This window comes from Homo sapiens, chromosome 16 (assembly GCF_000001405.40).
Source record: "Homo sapiens chromosome 16, GRCh38.p14 Primary Assembly".
Lineage (NCBI taxonomy): Eukaryota > Metazoa > Chordata > Mammalia > Primates > Hominidae > Homo > Homo sapiens.
In genome coordinates, this window is record NC_000016.10 from 77,671,841 (window position 1) to 77,687,391 (window position 15,551).

The 15,551-nt window shown below is 42.2% G+C and overlaps 1 annotated feature.

Annotated features, from left to right (window-relative positions):
• Window positions 12,106-12,275: an enhancer, noted in NCBI's record as "experimental_45434 CRE fragment used in MPRA reporter constructs". NCBI's record gives its function as "activates a minimal promoter by MPRAs in K562 erythroleukemia cells, with activity observed for both the introgressed and non-introgressed 16:77717928 variant alleles {active_cell/tissue: K562}" and the evidence as "EXISTENCE:reporter gene assay evidence [ECO:0000049][PMID:34662402]".

Genomic DNA, 15,551 nt, shown 5'->3' on the forward strand with positions numbered 1-15,551 from the left:
GTGTCAACTTGATTGAATTAAAGGATGCAAAGTATTGTTCCTGGGTGTGTCTGTGATCACGAAGCTGGCGATAACTATCTTGATCTCACAGCATTGTGCATATAATACCCATGTGAAGGTGTTGCCAAAGGAGATTAACATTGGAGAGTCAGTGGACTGGGAGAGGCAGACCTACCCTCAATCTGGGTGGGCACCATCTAAACAGCTGCCAGCACGGCTAGAGAAAGCAGACAGGAGAAGATGGAACAGCAGACTTGCCGAGTCTTCCAGCCTTCATCTTTCTACCCTGCTGGATGCTTCCTGCCCTCGAACATCAGACTCCAAATTCTTCAGCTTTTGGACTCTTGGACTTACACCAGTGGTTTGCCAGGAGCTCCTGGGGCTTTTGACCACAGACTGAAGGCTGCACTGTGGGCTTCCCTACTTTTGAGGTTTTGGGACTCAGACTGATCCACCACTGGCTTCCCTGCTCCTCAACTTGCAGACGGCCTATGGTAGGACTTTACCTTGTGATCGTGTGAGTCAACAGTCCTTAATAAACTCCCTTTCATATATACATATATGCCATTAGTTCTGTCCCTCTAGAGAACCCTGACTAATACAGAAGGCAAATGCTACACATGAGGGCATCCCTCACTTCTCTGGAGAGTCAGTTGTTAAACACTTACCAGGGCCATGGCCCAGAGTCACTACTACTTCCCAGGGAAGGAGCAAGGAGCAATGCGAACTGCCCTTCAGAAGGGTGGAAAATGGATGGCAGAGGAGTTGGGTAAATGCACCAAGAGAGTCAACAAGGTTAAAGAAGGCCAGAATTTGTATACATGTGCCATGTTGGTGTGCTGCACCCATTAACTCGTCATTTAGCATTAGGTATATCTCCTAATGCTATCCCTCCCCCCTCCCCCCACCCCACAAACCTGCACATGTACCCTAAAACTTAAAATATAATAATAATAAAATTTAAAAAAAAAGAAGGCCAGAATTTGGAGTCCATTTTTGTTTATTTTTTTGAGACAGAGTCTCACTCTGTTGCCCAGGCTGGAGTGCAGTGACAGGATATTGGCTCACTGCAACGCCCACCTCCTGGGTTCAAGCGATTCTCCTGCCTCAGCCTCTCAAGTAGCCGGGATTACAGGTGTGCACCACCACGCCTGGTTAATTTTTATACTTTTAGTAGAGACGGGGTTTCATCATTTTGTCCAGGCTGGTCTTGAACTCCTGATCTCAGGTGATCCTCCCACCTCGTCCTCCCAAAGTGCTAGGATTATAGGCATGAGCCATCGCGCCCTGCTAGAATTTGGAGTTTAGACAGAAGATCTTTCTTTATCCCTCACCATTTTTGAGGTTCAGTGTATATTTGAGATCTGATTCCGATAATTAAACCATGTGTGGTATTGAGAAAAGTATATTCATGGATATCTTTTTACCCAGTAACTCCACTGCCAAAACACCTACCCCCAATAAAAGTATAAAGAATCCGTGCAAGGATTTAGGTCATCAGGTGGCTTCACACAATGTGATTGTCATAGAGTACAGCCTGGAACCATCTCACATCCTGCAACAAGGTTCTAGTTACCTCTGTTACGGTGAACCCATGCAACCAGGTACTGTCAGTCTTTAAATATTCTTCTAAAACTTGATTTCTGATAGTGTGGGAGAGGAGTCATGACAAGTAAGAAAAGTTACAAGGCAGAATGATTTTAATAAGAGTTGTATAAAATGTAAAAATCCATAAAGGTTATAGAGTAGTTAACTTTGAGTGGTGGGGTTAATGGTAATTTTTTTTTCCTTTGGTGCTTTTCTATATTTTCAAATTTCCCCATGGTGAGAATGGATTACTTTTTGAAATAAGAAAAAAAAATGAAATACTGCTTTTGGTTTGTTTGTTTTGTTTTGTTTTTGAGATGGAGTCTCTGTCGCCCAGTCTAGAATGCAGTGGCTCCATCTCGGCTCACTGTGACTTCAGCCTCCTGGGTTCAAGTGGTTCTCTTGCCTCAGCCTCCCAAGTAGCTAGGATTACAGGCACGCACCATCACACTCAGCTAATTTTGTATTTTTAAGTAATTTCTCCAACTAGATAATGTAGCAACTTAAAACCTAAAATGTGGTTTCTCTATATAAAAGGAGTTTGAGGCCGGGCGTGGTGGCTCACGCCTGTAATCCCAGCACTTTGGGAGGCCGAGGCGGGTGGATCATGAGGTCAGGAGATCGAGACCATCCTGGCTAACACAGTGAAACCCCGTCTCTACTAGAAATACAAAAAATTAGCCGGGAGCGGTGGCGGGCTCCTGTAGTCCCAGCTACTTGAGAGGCTGAGGCAGGAGAATGGCGTGAACCCAGGAGGCGGAGCTTGCAGTGAGCCGAGATCGCGCCACTGCACTCCAGCCTGGGCGACAGAGCCAGACGCTGTCTCAAAAAAAAAAAAAAAAGAGTTTGAGGCCGGGCGCGGTGGCTCACACCTGTAATCCCAGCACTTTGGGAGGCCGAGGCAGGCGGATCATGAGGTCAGGAACTCAAGACCGGCCTGACCAACATGGTGAAACCCTGTTACTACTAAAAATACAAATATTAGCCAGGTGTGGTGCCTGTAATCTCAGCTACTCAGGAGGCTAAAGCAGGAGAATCGCTTGAACCCGGGAGGTGGAAGTTGCAGTGAGCTGAGTTTGCACCACTGCACTCCAGCCTGGGCAACAGGGCGAGACTTGGTCTCAAAAAAAAAAAAAAAAAAAAGGTAGTTTGAATTAATGAGATTTAACAAACATTATGCCTAATAGGTAATATAACAAGGGCAATGAAATCACCAATTGTATCTGAAAAAACAACCATAGCTATTTCTTTCTCCTTCCTGTATCTTCCTCCCGCTTCTTTTACTGATAATATTTACGGATCATTTTCCACGTATAAGCCTTGGAGCCAAGTAAATTAAATAAATTAACTCGTTTATTTTTCAGAACAAAACTATGAAATAGATACTACTTGTATCTCCACGCAGAAACATACAGAAACAGAAGCTTAGCGTCAATAAATGGCTTGCCCAAATTCTCATTGCCAGTAAATGCAAAACTCTAACCCTAGTTAATAAAAGCACACATTTTGTATTAGTAAATAATCAAATTAAGCCTTGTTACTCACATGGTTGCCCCTTTAAGGAGTTGGTAGCCTCAATGCTCAGAAAGTTAAGCTCAAATATGTACTTTTAGTTCCATGGATTCCTTGTGTTGTGGTCACAGTCGAAGACTAAACAATTGCAACACGATGACCCACACTGCAGATATTTATCCAAAAACACAAAGGAACTTTTCACCTATCAGCTATCAACACGACTTTAGAGACAGTCAACAGGATTTTCAGTTGGTCAGGCAAGAACTAATCATTGAGGATCTCGTGTGTACATGACACTGTTACTAAATTCTGGGGCTACAGCAGCAAAATAAGGTGAATATGATCCCTGCCCTTATGCAGTCTGTAGCCTTGTAAGAAAGTCTAAGGAATTCAATAAGCAAGATAAACGCTGTGATGGAGAATTACAGGCTTCGTTGTGAAGCTGTCACCCTCTTGACATAATAATGGTTATACTCATAGCTACATTCAGTCCCGGTTTAACTTGATCATCTTTTATAAAACTGACTATGCTTGGCAAATTTTTTTGTCCACAGGGTAGATTCATTGCATGCACTCTTCTGGGACTTGATAAACCAATTTCTAAATGTTCACAGACTTACAAAGTAGAATAGACCAGGACTCCTGCAAAACACCTCTTAGTAATACGGAAAGAGTTTGAGACTTAGTAAAAGAATGACAATTACACGGGTGGCTAAAGGAGTGGCCGCTTCCAATATTCCTCTTGAAAGAAACATTATCACCCCCCACTGCTCGGCCCCCGCTCCTTTAATAAAAGACTACGCTTTCCATCCTGGTACCAGAATTCCAAGAAATCCCTCACACACACCCCAAGGAACCCCAGGATTGCCATTTCTCCTTGCAGGGAGAATCTTTCAGTTTGACATCTGGCTGGCTTTATTGACGGATTTCTCATGCACTTCCCTTTGCTGCAATATGCACACTATCCAGCAGAGGGCAGGATTATACAACACATTCTCCCCGTTAGACCTAAACGAGAGGATGGCACAGACCCACCAGCGTCAGAGGAGGTTAAAAAGCACAGGACACATTTTTGCCTGTGCGCTAAGAGATGACAGCATGAGAAATATTAAATACTTGGAGCTGGGACTCAATATGCCCGAGACCTGGAGTCAGTCTGGTAGTCACTTCAACTGTGGATTGCAATTTTCCCAAATGGATGGTGAAAGTTTTCTATTAGGTTGCAAAAGTAAGTGCAGTTTTCGCCATTAAAAGTAACGGCCCTCAAATCTGATTTCTCCTCTAAATTTCTATAATTCTACATTTTGGCGTATTTGATAAATAACCCTCAAATTTAATAAATGACCCTCAAATCTTATTTAATAAATGACCCTCAAATCTTATTTCTCCTCTAAATTTCTATAGTTCTACATTTTGGCTTATTCTGAAGTAACTCTCCTGAAGTTGTACTCTTTCTAGAATACAAATTGGACCACGTGTCTCCCTGGTTTAAAATCTGGGAGTAGGAATTTAGAATGTGAGATCATTCACACCTAAGGGATCCAAATCTCTCCTTCAAGTCAAGAGCAAAATCTTCCTCCCCAGTTTGGGAGTCAGAGGTTGTGTTGGTTATAGGAGTAATAATAATAATAATAGGACAATATTCGTTGATGTACCAGGCAAGTGCGAAGTGCTTTACGTGAATTAATGCATGAATTCCTCTCACTCACCCAATGAAGTCAATATTCTTACTATCCCTATTTTTAGATGAGGACAAAGAGATCCCTATTGTTAGATGAGGACAAAGACAAGAGATGAAGTGCATTGCCCAAGAGCATGCTGATAGGAAATGGTGCCACTGGGTCTAAACTCCAGAGAATGGGCTCACAGCTGCTCTTATATTGCCTTCAATGACTTTGGAGGTGGGAGAGGAGCTGACCAAAGACAACTACAGGACTTTGAACTAAGACATGTTAATTCATTCACTCATTCACATACTCTCTCAAAGACATACCAAGTGCCTACTATGTCCCAGGTACTTCATTAAGCACTGGAATCCAAAAATTTGTAATGTAGCATCCTGCCTAGTCACATGGGTTTCTGCCATAAAGTTCAGAAGCCTGGGAGTAAGAATAGGGAAGGAAAATTCACTACTGACACAATGTTAAGGTTTTGCTGGGTAGGCACAGTGAAAAGTAGAGTTCAGGGTATGAAAGGTGCTAGGGAGACAGTGGTTCAGGCAACCAACCATGAGGTCCAGCTAAAAACATGAGCACCCTCCTGATCTGCAGCCTGGCCAGTGTGTTATGAATCTGCCCCACTTCCCAGCTTTTTCCCAGCCAATCGTTCTATTTTGCTAACCGGGCTAAATGCCTCAGGCGAAGGACCAGAAATACTGGATTCCATCATAGCACAGATTATGCAACCTAGGGAAACCATTCACCATCTCTGAGCTTGCTTCTCTCATCTATAAAATGAGGCACCATTCAGCTCAATGAGTAGAAAAATATTTATAGAGGAACACAGTGTGACAGGCACGGTGCTTCATGCCAAGAACATAAGAAGATATTTCCTTCCTCAAATAGTTCACATCTGAACACATTCTAGATGTTTCTAAACTATAATTACAAAACAGTGCTTCTATCTCTGATAGAAGATTCTACAGGACACCACAACTACCGTTACTAATAGCCTATGTTTTGTGATACCTAATTTGGGCCAAGCTCTCCATATAAATTATTTTTATAATCCCTCACGATAACCCAGTGGGGCCGGGTGCGGTGGCTCACGCCTGTAATCCCAGCACTTTGGGAGGCTGAGGCGGGCAGATCACCCGAGGTTAGAGTTCAAGACAAGCCTGGCCAACATGGTGAAACCCCGTCACTATAAAAATACAAAAAACGTAGCCAGGCATGGCGGTGGGCGTCTGTAATCCCAGCTACTTGGGAGGCTGAGGCAAGAGAATCCCTTGAACCCGGGAGCCGGAGGTTGCAGTGAGCTGAGACGGTGCCATCGCACTCCAACCTGGACAACAAGAACGAAATTCTGTCTCAAAAACAAACAAACAGAAGCAAAACAAAACCCTCTGGAACAGACGTAATTTTTATGTTTTCTGACAGAAAATCTGAGGATTAAAAAATGTCAGGTACTCACTGTATTAGATTATTCTCACACTGCTAATAAAGACATACCCGAGACGGGGTAATTTATAAAGAAAGAGGCTTAATTGACTCACAGTTCAGCATGGCTGGGGAGGCCTCAGGAAGTCCACAATCATGGTGGAAGGGAATGCGAACACATCCTTCCTCACGTGGCAGCAGCAAGGAGAAGTGCAGAGTGAGAAGGTGGGAAGAACCACTTATAAAACCATCAGATCTTGTGAGAACTCACTCAATATCATGAGAACAGCATGGAGGTAAGTGCCCCTATGATTCAATTACCTCCCACTGGGTCTCTCTCACGACACGTGGGGATTATGGGAACTACAGTTCAAGATGAGATTTGGGTGGGGACACAGCCAAACCATATCATTCACCAAAAGTTGCAATGATAGTAGGAGATACCAGGCACAGTGGCTCATGCCTGTGATTCCAGCACTTTGGGAGGCCGAGGGGCAAGGATTGCCTGAACCCAGGAGTTCAAGGCCAGCCTGGGCAAGATAAAGAGACCCCATCTCTACTAAAAATACAAAAAATATTAGCAATGCACCTATAGTCCCAGCTACTTGGGAGGCTGAGGCGGGACGATCACCTGAGCCCAGGACATCAAGGCTGTGGTGAGCTGTGATTGTGCCACTGCCACTCCAGCCTGGGAGACAGGAGTGAGACCCTGTCCCAGGAAAAAAAAAAAAAAAAAAGCCTGGCACGGGGACTCACACCTGTAATCCCAATACTTTGGGAGGTGGAGGTGGGTGGATCACTTGAGGCCAGGAGTTCGAGACCACCCCTGGCCGACATGGTGAAACCCCATCTCTACTAAAAATACAAAAATTAGCTGGGCGTGGTGGCACACACCTGTAATGCCAGCTACTCAGGAGGCTGAGGCCGGAGAATCATTTAAAACTGGGAGGCGGAGGTTGCAGTGAGTCGAGATCACACCACTGCACTACAGCCTGGACGACAAAGCGAGATTTGGTCTCAAAAAAACAAACAAACAAACAAAAAAAGGTTGTAACATGTGGTAGAATCAGAACTCAAAACATAGGCGTGGTTGAGACTAGTGACTGTTCTTAATCACTGTGGAAGCCTGGAGCAGAAGACCCAGCTCTCCTAGGAGGTGAAAGGTTAAGTCTGAAATGTCATGCGATGCCTGCTTGGATTCTTGGGAATGATCTGTGCTGATCTTATAAATCTCTCTCCTAGACTTAAATTTCTCTACATACCTTTCAGTCCTTATCCAAGAAAAGTTGGCTTAATACATACAACTAGAATCGAGGCAAATTAGACTCCTTTAAATGCGTCCATAATGTCTGCTTCATGGCTCTTCAAAAAAGACATGCGATCCTGTGAAATGCTAATTTGATACATAACCAAAGGAAAGTAACATGCTCTTGTCTTGGCTAATTCGTAGCTGTTAGTTGAGCAACACCGTTTATTTCCAGGGCTAGCCTTAGATATAGCACAATTATAGAAAAGGGCTGTCAGCACTAATTGCTCCATTGCATGCCCAAAAAGTTCTACAGAATCTGAAATGCTGACAAACAGTCCAGACCCACTGGAAAACATCTGCAAATCATAATCTTTTAATTTCAATGAACATGGTGGAAAGTTTCAGCTTCAATGACTTACTAAATCCCTGAGCCATCTTAAAGTCTTGTGTTCTTTTCTTTCCTAAGCCAAAGAATAAAACAGCTTTGAAAGTTGTGTTTTTTAGAGTGTGGAGCCAAAATGACTGCTATAGTTGTTAATGTTTAAAATGACATTTCAGATATGCCATCTAACCTAAATGAAAATTTTAGAAGGCTATTGATCATTATAAAAATATTTTTAAAGATATAATTTATATACAGTACCATAAAATTCATTTGTTTTAAGTGTACAATTCAATGATTTTTGCAGTAAATTTTCAGTTATGCAACTAGTGCCATAATCCAGTTTTAGAACATTTCCGTTAGCCCAAGGAGGTCCCTTGTGTCAGTTTGAGGTTATATGCCTCATTTCCACCTCCAGTAACCCCTAATCCTCTGTTGCTAAAGTTCTGCTTTTCACGACATTTCACGTCAATGCCACCATAGAAACTGTGTTTGCATCTGGCTTCTTTCACTCAGCATATGTTTTTCAGATTCATCTACATTCTAGCATGTAACAGGGCTTTGTTCCTTTTTTATTCCTGATTAATATTCCTTTTATGGATGCAGTTCATTTTGTTTAAGCATTTACCATTCAATGGATTTGTGATTGTTTCCAGTTTTCAACCATTACAAATAATGTTGCTATGATAATTCATGTCCAAGTCTTCATGTGGACACGTGTTTTCCGTTCCTTTGTGTAGATACATTGTAATAGAATTGCTGGATTATATAGTAAATTTATGTCTAATTTTTAATACTTTGAATTTTATTTATTTATTTTTTTTGAGACTGTGTCTCGCTTTGTTGCCTAGGCTGGAGTGCAGCAGCATGATCACTACTCACTGCAGCCTCACCTTCCAGGGCTCAAGCGATCCTCCCACCTCAGTCTCCAGAGTAACTGAGACTACAGGTGCATGCCACCTCACCCAGCTTTTTTTGTTTTGTTTTGTTTTGTTTAAAGAGATAAGGTTTCCCTATGTTGCCCAGGCTTGTCTCAACCCCCTGAGCTCAAGTAATACTCATGCCTCAGCCTCCCAAAGTGTTGGTATTACAGATGTGAGCCTTTGTGCCAGGCCTGAACTTGTTTTATGTGTAACTTTTTAACAAACTGCCAAACTGTTTTCCAAAGTGGCTGCGCTATTTTACATTCCCAGGCTGGTCTTTATTTATTTATTTATTTATTTTGCAGGAGCGTGGGTAATTTTTTGTAGAGACAGGGTCTTGCTAAGTTGCCCAGGCTGGTCTCAAACTCCTGGGCTCAAGCAATCCTTCCACCTCAGCCTTTCAAAGTGTTGGAATTACAGACGTGAGCCACCGTACCTGGCCTCTCATACTGGTCATTTTTAATAAGACAAATGATTTTCTTAAAAAAAAAAAAGAAAGAAAGAAAAAGGAGCTATAGTGTGAAGGAAAAAAAAAAGATGCCCTGTAATTACCCCTGGGACAAAGGTGCTGTAGAAAACAGAATGTTAGCAGGAGCATGAGTTTCCTGAGTTGTTTTAGGAACTCCAAAATGCTGGGAATTTCAACTATCTTTAATCCAAAGAGCCTTCTGGTTTTAAGCTGCTTCGAACCTTGTTCTTGCTCCATGGTTGGGGAGAAGTTGAAAGGGAAACGACTGCTAGGTCTCTTAGTAAGTAACCCAGTAATTATATATTCAGATTGTCACCCTACCCTACCCTTCTACATTTCCCAGCCATGCCCTGGCCCATTCCTCTTTACATTTACAACAGCTTTCTGACTTATCTTACTGGCTCTGTGCAACTACCTTGAACTCCACTCCCACTTCTAAACCTGAGTGAAGTATTCTTTTTCTTGGTTTTCCTAATACCCTGTGTATGCCTTTTATGATAAGATTTTCTAGCCTCTCTCAAGGAACTATACTTTACTTATTTTTATCTCTTCAGTACTCAGTATAGACTTTGCCTCATTGTGTATACTCAATCATATTGCATGGACCAATGAATGCATTGATTAACACAGAATAAGCCCTATCTATTAAATGCATCATGGTCTTAATCTCGTTAACTGAAATATGTTACAAATAAGGATAGCTTTGAATATCTGTCTAGTTAACTTCTGATTTTCTACAAAAATAACTAGAAACTGAACCTAGAATTGGCTGTCAGGTCTACAAAAATGCTGCTGGTTCTATCTCTCATCAGCTTTGTGGCCTTGACCTCGTTACTAAATTTTGCTAAGCATCAGTTTCTTCACCTGAAAGCATCGCTATAACGATTAAATGAGATAGTCCATAAAAAGTCCTTGGTTATTATTTTATTACATCATCATTCTAACAATTATTGAATACTTACTACAATTTTTATGAATATGAGTACAGAGGTTGATGTGTCTTGCTCATAACTGTAATATTCTGGCCGTTATGGTGGCTCACACCTATAATCTCAGCACTTCGGGAGTCTGAGGTGGAAGGACTGCTTGAGCCCAGGAGTTCGAGACCAGTCTGGGCAACACAGAGAGACCCTGTCTGTAAAGAAAATTGAAAAACTAGCTGGGCATGGTTGTGCACACCCGGAGTCCCAGCTACTCAAAAGGCCGAAGCAGGAGGGTAGCTTGAGCCCAGGTGTTCAAAGCTATAGTGAGCCAAGATCACACCACTGAACACCAGCCTGGGTGAGAGAGTGAGACCCTGTCCAAAAAAAAAAAAATAAATCCATATTCTTTGCTACAGGGAATTGTGAAAAGTAATGATGCATATCGCAGTTCTAGAAATTTTTGGCTTTCGTCTACATAACGGTCTCAGGTCATCCAACCTCCAAATTATAGTCATCTATTGAGAGGCTGTGTGAGAGACAAGATCCTAAAAGCCAAAGGTAATGAATGATGAGGACTATATTAATAATGCACACACACTCTCCTCCATTTCATTCATATCCCAGTAGAAACTTTAAATTTCAGAACTCCCATTCAGGGTGATTCTCACCTAATGGAGGCTGGTTTCAGCACAACACGCATCAGCCGATACTCCCGACTCCACACAGCCAGGCTTGCACACATTTATTATCAAGAGCTGCAGCTTGTCTCCGGCGGTTTGACTGGCTGCTACCCACCTCCTCTTCAGTGTTTCTCAGAGGAAGCAACAAACTCCGCTGGAGCACTCTGTGGAATCCTCAGATGGAGAAAGGAAACCGCCACGGTGCAAGTGCGTTCACCACGTGTTACACACACTTTGAAGATGATGGGCTTGTTAGGCTGCAATACATCCTTGGTGTTGCATTAACTAGCATGATTCCTCATCCAGCTTCATGAAACTACCTAACCATGGCCCATGAGGTGCACCCCAGGTACATATATAAACATACACATTCCTATAAAACCATTTTTGGAGGCAAATTTCTATTTGAATTCTCACCTATCCTTTTCTAGTCATGGGCAAGTTATCTAGCTTTTCTGAATCTCAGTTTCTTTATATGGAAATGGGGATAAAATGCATTGCTGGGTCGTTATGATAATCATATGCAATAAACATGAAACTGTCCAGCAAAGTGCATGACAAGTCATAGTTGTTCAATAAATAATATTACTGTGATTACTAGTAGTATTACTATTCTACAATGTATATATGAATATGCTTACACACACATAAATATGCCATTATGCTAAACCAATTATTCAGCAATATATCGTAAATAAGTATCCTGTAGCAAAAATCTCCCAAACGTAGAGATGGGAAAATAAAGGTAAGTTTTCCTTCAGACCCCCGTCTTTATTTAGTTTGCATAGTTTCTTTTGCATTGGTCCTCCTGTTAGCACTGACTGGTGACCACTGAGCTAGTGTTTTTTGTTTTTTACATGTATAGTCTGATTGCCTGTCATGGATGGTGATGTCACTGAGTCAAAGTAAATTATCTTGTTGATAATAGGAGACAGCCCTGACCCACTGATGCCTAGTTACCTCATGAGAAAATCAAAAAGTGGAGAGAAAGATGTCTGGGCTGTGGCTGCTGAGGCTTCCTTAGCCCCAAGTGTCCGAGTCAGGGATGTGGCTCCAAGATTCCATGTAGGAAAACATTCATTGAGCACTTAACACCCTCAGAAAACTGGCAGCTCCTCAACCCCACCCACCTCCTTCCAAGACCACTCAATTTCAGAACTCACTTCTCAATGAGGAAAGAAAATTGCCCAAAGAGGTTTGGAGTGTTTTTTTTTTAATTTTTCATTTCAAGCAGAATATATTCTCATCAGTGGGAGAGGATAGTCTAGCATCATGACTAATAAAAACTGTGTTGTGATTTTTGACACTACATTTTCCTAATTGCTTAAAATGTGTTCCACAGTGCTATGTAACTGGCATTGAGACGTGCAGTTATGGGTGTACTCAACAGATGTCAGTTGCCCTCCATTTAAGCAACTTAGAAACAACCAAAAATAAATGTGGATTATTGAATGCTGGAGAGAAAGCGAAGATATTAAATATTTAATTCTCTGAACATAATGATGTAGTTGATTTTCTGTTCTTCTTAGCTGCCGTTTTGTCATTTTGCATCAGTGATCCTGAGAACACATTCATTATTCTGGAAGGCTCATTGGATGTTGCTATGGAGACCAGAGCTGCTCTGACATATTCCCCCAGGCCCTGTTTGCTGGCTTTTTCAGTAAACACTTAATTATGCGTTGCATTCTGCAATCAGTGTGGTTGGAGGAGACTTTCCTTAGCTGATTTCAAGCTAAATATGAGTTCTCCTTACAAGCGGATGCTTTCGTAGGTCTGTTGAGTGTGATTTTAATAAATGGAGCAAAATCAAGAAACATCCAAGAGAAAAATCAAACAAAGAAGAAGGCAAGGCATCAGTCTAATTACCTTCAATAGCCTAGCGGTATAAAAGCTTTTCAAAGTCGTATCAACAACCTTAACTCTACTAAAAACCTTGATGGTTCGGAGAAGGAGAAAGATTCTTCTATACCATATGACCCAAGCAGGCAAATCAAACAAATAAAAAATTTGTTTAGGAGCATTCTATCTAGGAAGAAGGTATTAATAAATTATAAGATCCTTTTTAGGTCAAGGATTCTCAATGCAGGAATGGGCTTCTGAGGTCTCTGACCAAGCTCCACTCCTTCCATAGGTACATGAAGAATATTGTTTGCATGCATATGTGCATCTTTGTAGAAAGAAAGTCCTTAACTTTCATTATAAACTGAAAAGCCATCAGATAAAACAAATGGATCACTGATCAATTGAATACTAGTGAAAAATACTCTATCTTTCTCTGAGGAAGCATATTAACTCTTTCTCACAATGTATGATTTACCAAAATAAAGAAAGCATTTTGCAGGAGGGAACCAACCCCCAGGGTATGCTTTATCCAACTGTGAATTTTGATAGATGCACTTGGAATTCTTCCTCATTTGAGAGAACAAGTGCTGGGTTAGAAGCCTGAAATAAAGATAGAAGCTGACCCACACTCAGTATTCTAAGTCACGACAAAAGCTGTGCCAAATGGATCACCCAGTTTTACTAAACTTGTTTAATTCAGTGAAGCCATTTATTTGGCAGATTCTCCAGAAACTGTATTTGATTTTCTCTTTAGTAGGTATTTACTAAGTACCCGGCACTTCCTTATACACTCTCAATTTTATGTTCTCTTTGTGATTTTGGTGTAGGTGAAACTAGAACTCGGAGGCAAGTGTTTAGAGCCAGGCAAAACTCAGAATTGAAGCAAATTTGAGAATGAAGGAGGTATGTGGGGACTGCCAGGAAGGAAGGATTCACAGCTCAATAGCATGAATGTGAGCATCCAGGCAGCAACTTTTGGTGCATAACACACCACACCAAAACTTGGGGGATTAAAATCACCCCTATTTCTTATTATGTCTCATGGTTCTGTGAGGTACAAAGGAGACCACTCATCTCTGCTGCACAACGTCTGAGTATTCTGCTGCCTTGACCCAATGGCCTAGGTTTGGATGGTTGGAACTACCTGTAGGGTAAATGCCCTGATAGCAATAACAAGCATACCCTGAGAATGACCTTGTATGGCAGACTCTATGAGGAACATCTGAGCTCTCCCGGCCACCCCCCACTCCTTCCCTACCCTCCTGCTGTCACATCCCATGGAACATGGGCCATACAGGGGACTAAGGTCCTGGGTTTTGGGTTGGATGAAGTGGCCAGGTAGAGGTCATTAAAGGGAGGGTATTAAGTGAAAATCCTATTATATATAAACTGTATGCTGTTTGCAATTGGTTGCAGTTTAGTATAACTACCCAGCCCACCACTGCTGGGCCATGCAGGGATGTTGTCCTGCTCACTGCCGCTGGACTGTAAGTTAGGTGGTTCTCCTGTCTAGCCCACCACCACTGGACTCTCTCTCTCATAGGTAAGCCCCTAATAAAACTCCATATCTCTTTTTCTGGCTCACTTCTTCAGTTTCTTGAACCTAGTGCTGTCCTACTGAGGTTAATAGGGTTCAGCACAACGCTGCCCACCATCTCTCTCTATGCAGCCTCGGGCCTCTCTGTGTGCTTACACACGTGGTCTCCCCAGTATGACAGTCTCAGAGTTCAACAGCAAGTTTTCCAAAAAACCAAGGCAGAAGCTGCAAGACCCCTTATGATCTAGCCTTTTCAGTCCCAGAACATCATTCTACTGGTCAAGCAAGGCACTCGAGCCAGCTCAGATAGAAGCGGGAGGGAACTGGACTCTACCTCTCAATGGAAGGAGTAGCAGAGAATTTGGAACTCTGTTCGGCAACCCAAAAGGGAGGACAGATATTAGGTGACACTGTTAAGTCACTGTCCTAACTCTTATACATACACATTATTTCAATCAGCTCTGCAAATTAGCCCGGTCATCCCATTTCAGTCAGAGATAGAGGTCACTTCTTACTAACTTGTCCAGATGGTGGCAGAGCAGGAATTGAGCCCAGGACTCTCTGCAAATTCTGTGCCATTCACCACTACCCTTCCAGGTTCTACCACATTTGACTCAAGTTCTAGTCATCACAGCTCCACTTGATTTCTTCCTCCTTCCTCCTATTTGGATCTTACATGCAATATAATATAGTTACGCGTCATCTTTTTTGGCATACAGGTCCATCTCCCAACAGAGACCCCAGAATCACAAAGTAGGAGAGCTCTGGGTCCTTAGATAGAAAATCAAAGAGTATATATGGCCAATATCCTGCCTAGGAATACACAGATGTTTGCAGCAGAGAGCACTGGGCTGACAGTGGAGTTGTTTCTGGTCCTACCCCTGGCATCGTTTTGTGTCTACAAAGCCACTGGGGGTAAAAAATGTGTGGCAAAGCCAGTGATTACTGGTGATACTCCCTTCCTGTAGGTCTTGTCTAGAGCTGAACCTTGTCTAATGGAAGATAATTTGCTGTCTAATGAGAGTCCTTGAAGTACATTTCTTTCATTCGCTTTGAAATTTCTGTCAATTTTTTCATATAGTTCTACTCTAATAGAGCCTAAATCCCTTTTCAACTTATTACAGGAAATGATCCTAATGGGTAAATTAAGTCTGACTCTCCCCCATGGTCTCTCCAACCAATATATTTTCCTCTTTTCCCCAAGGTTTACTTTTCACTCAAAGAGCTCATCACGGCCGGATACAGTGGCTCACACCTGTAATCCCAGCACTTTGGGAAGCTGGGGTGGGTAGATTGCTTTGATCTCAGGAGTTCGAGACCAGCTTGGGCAACATGGCAAAACCCCA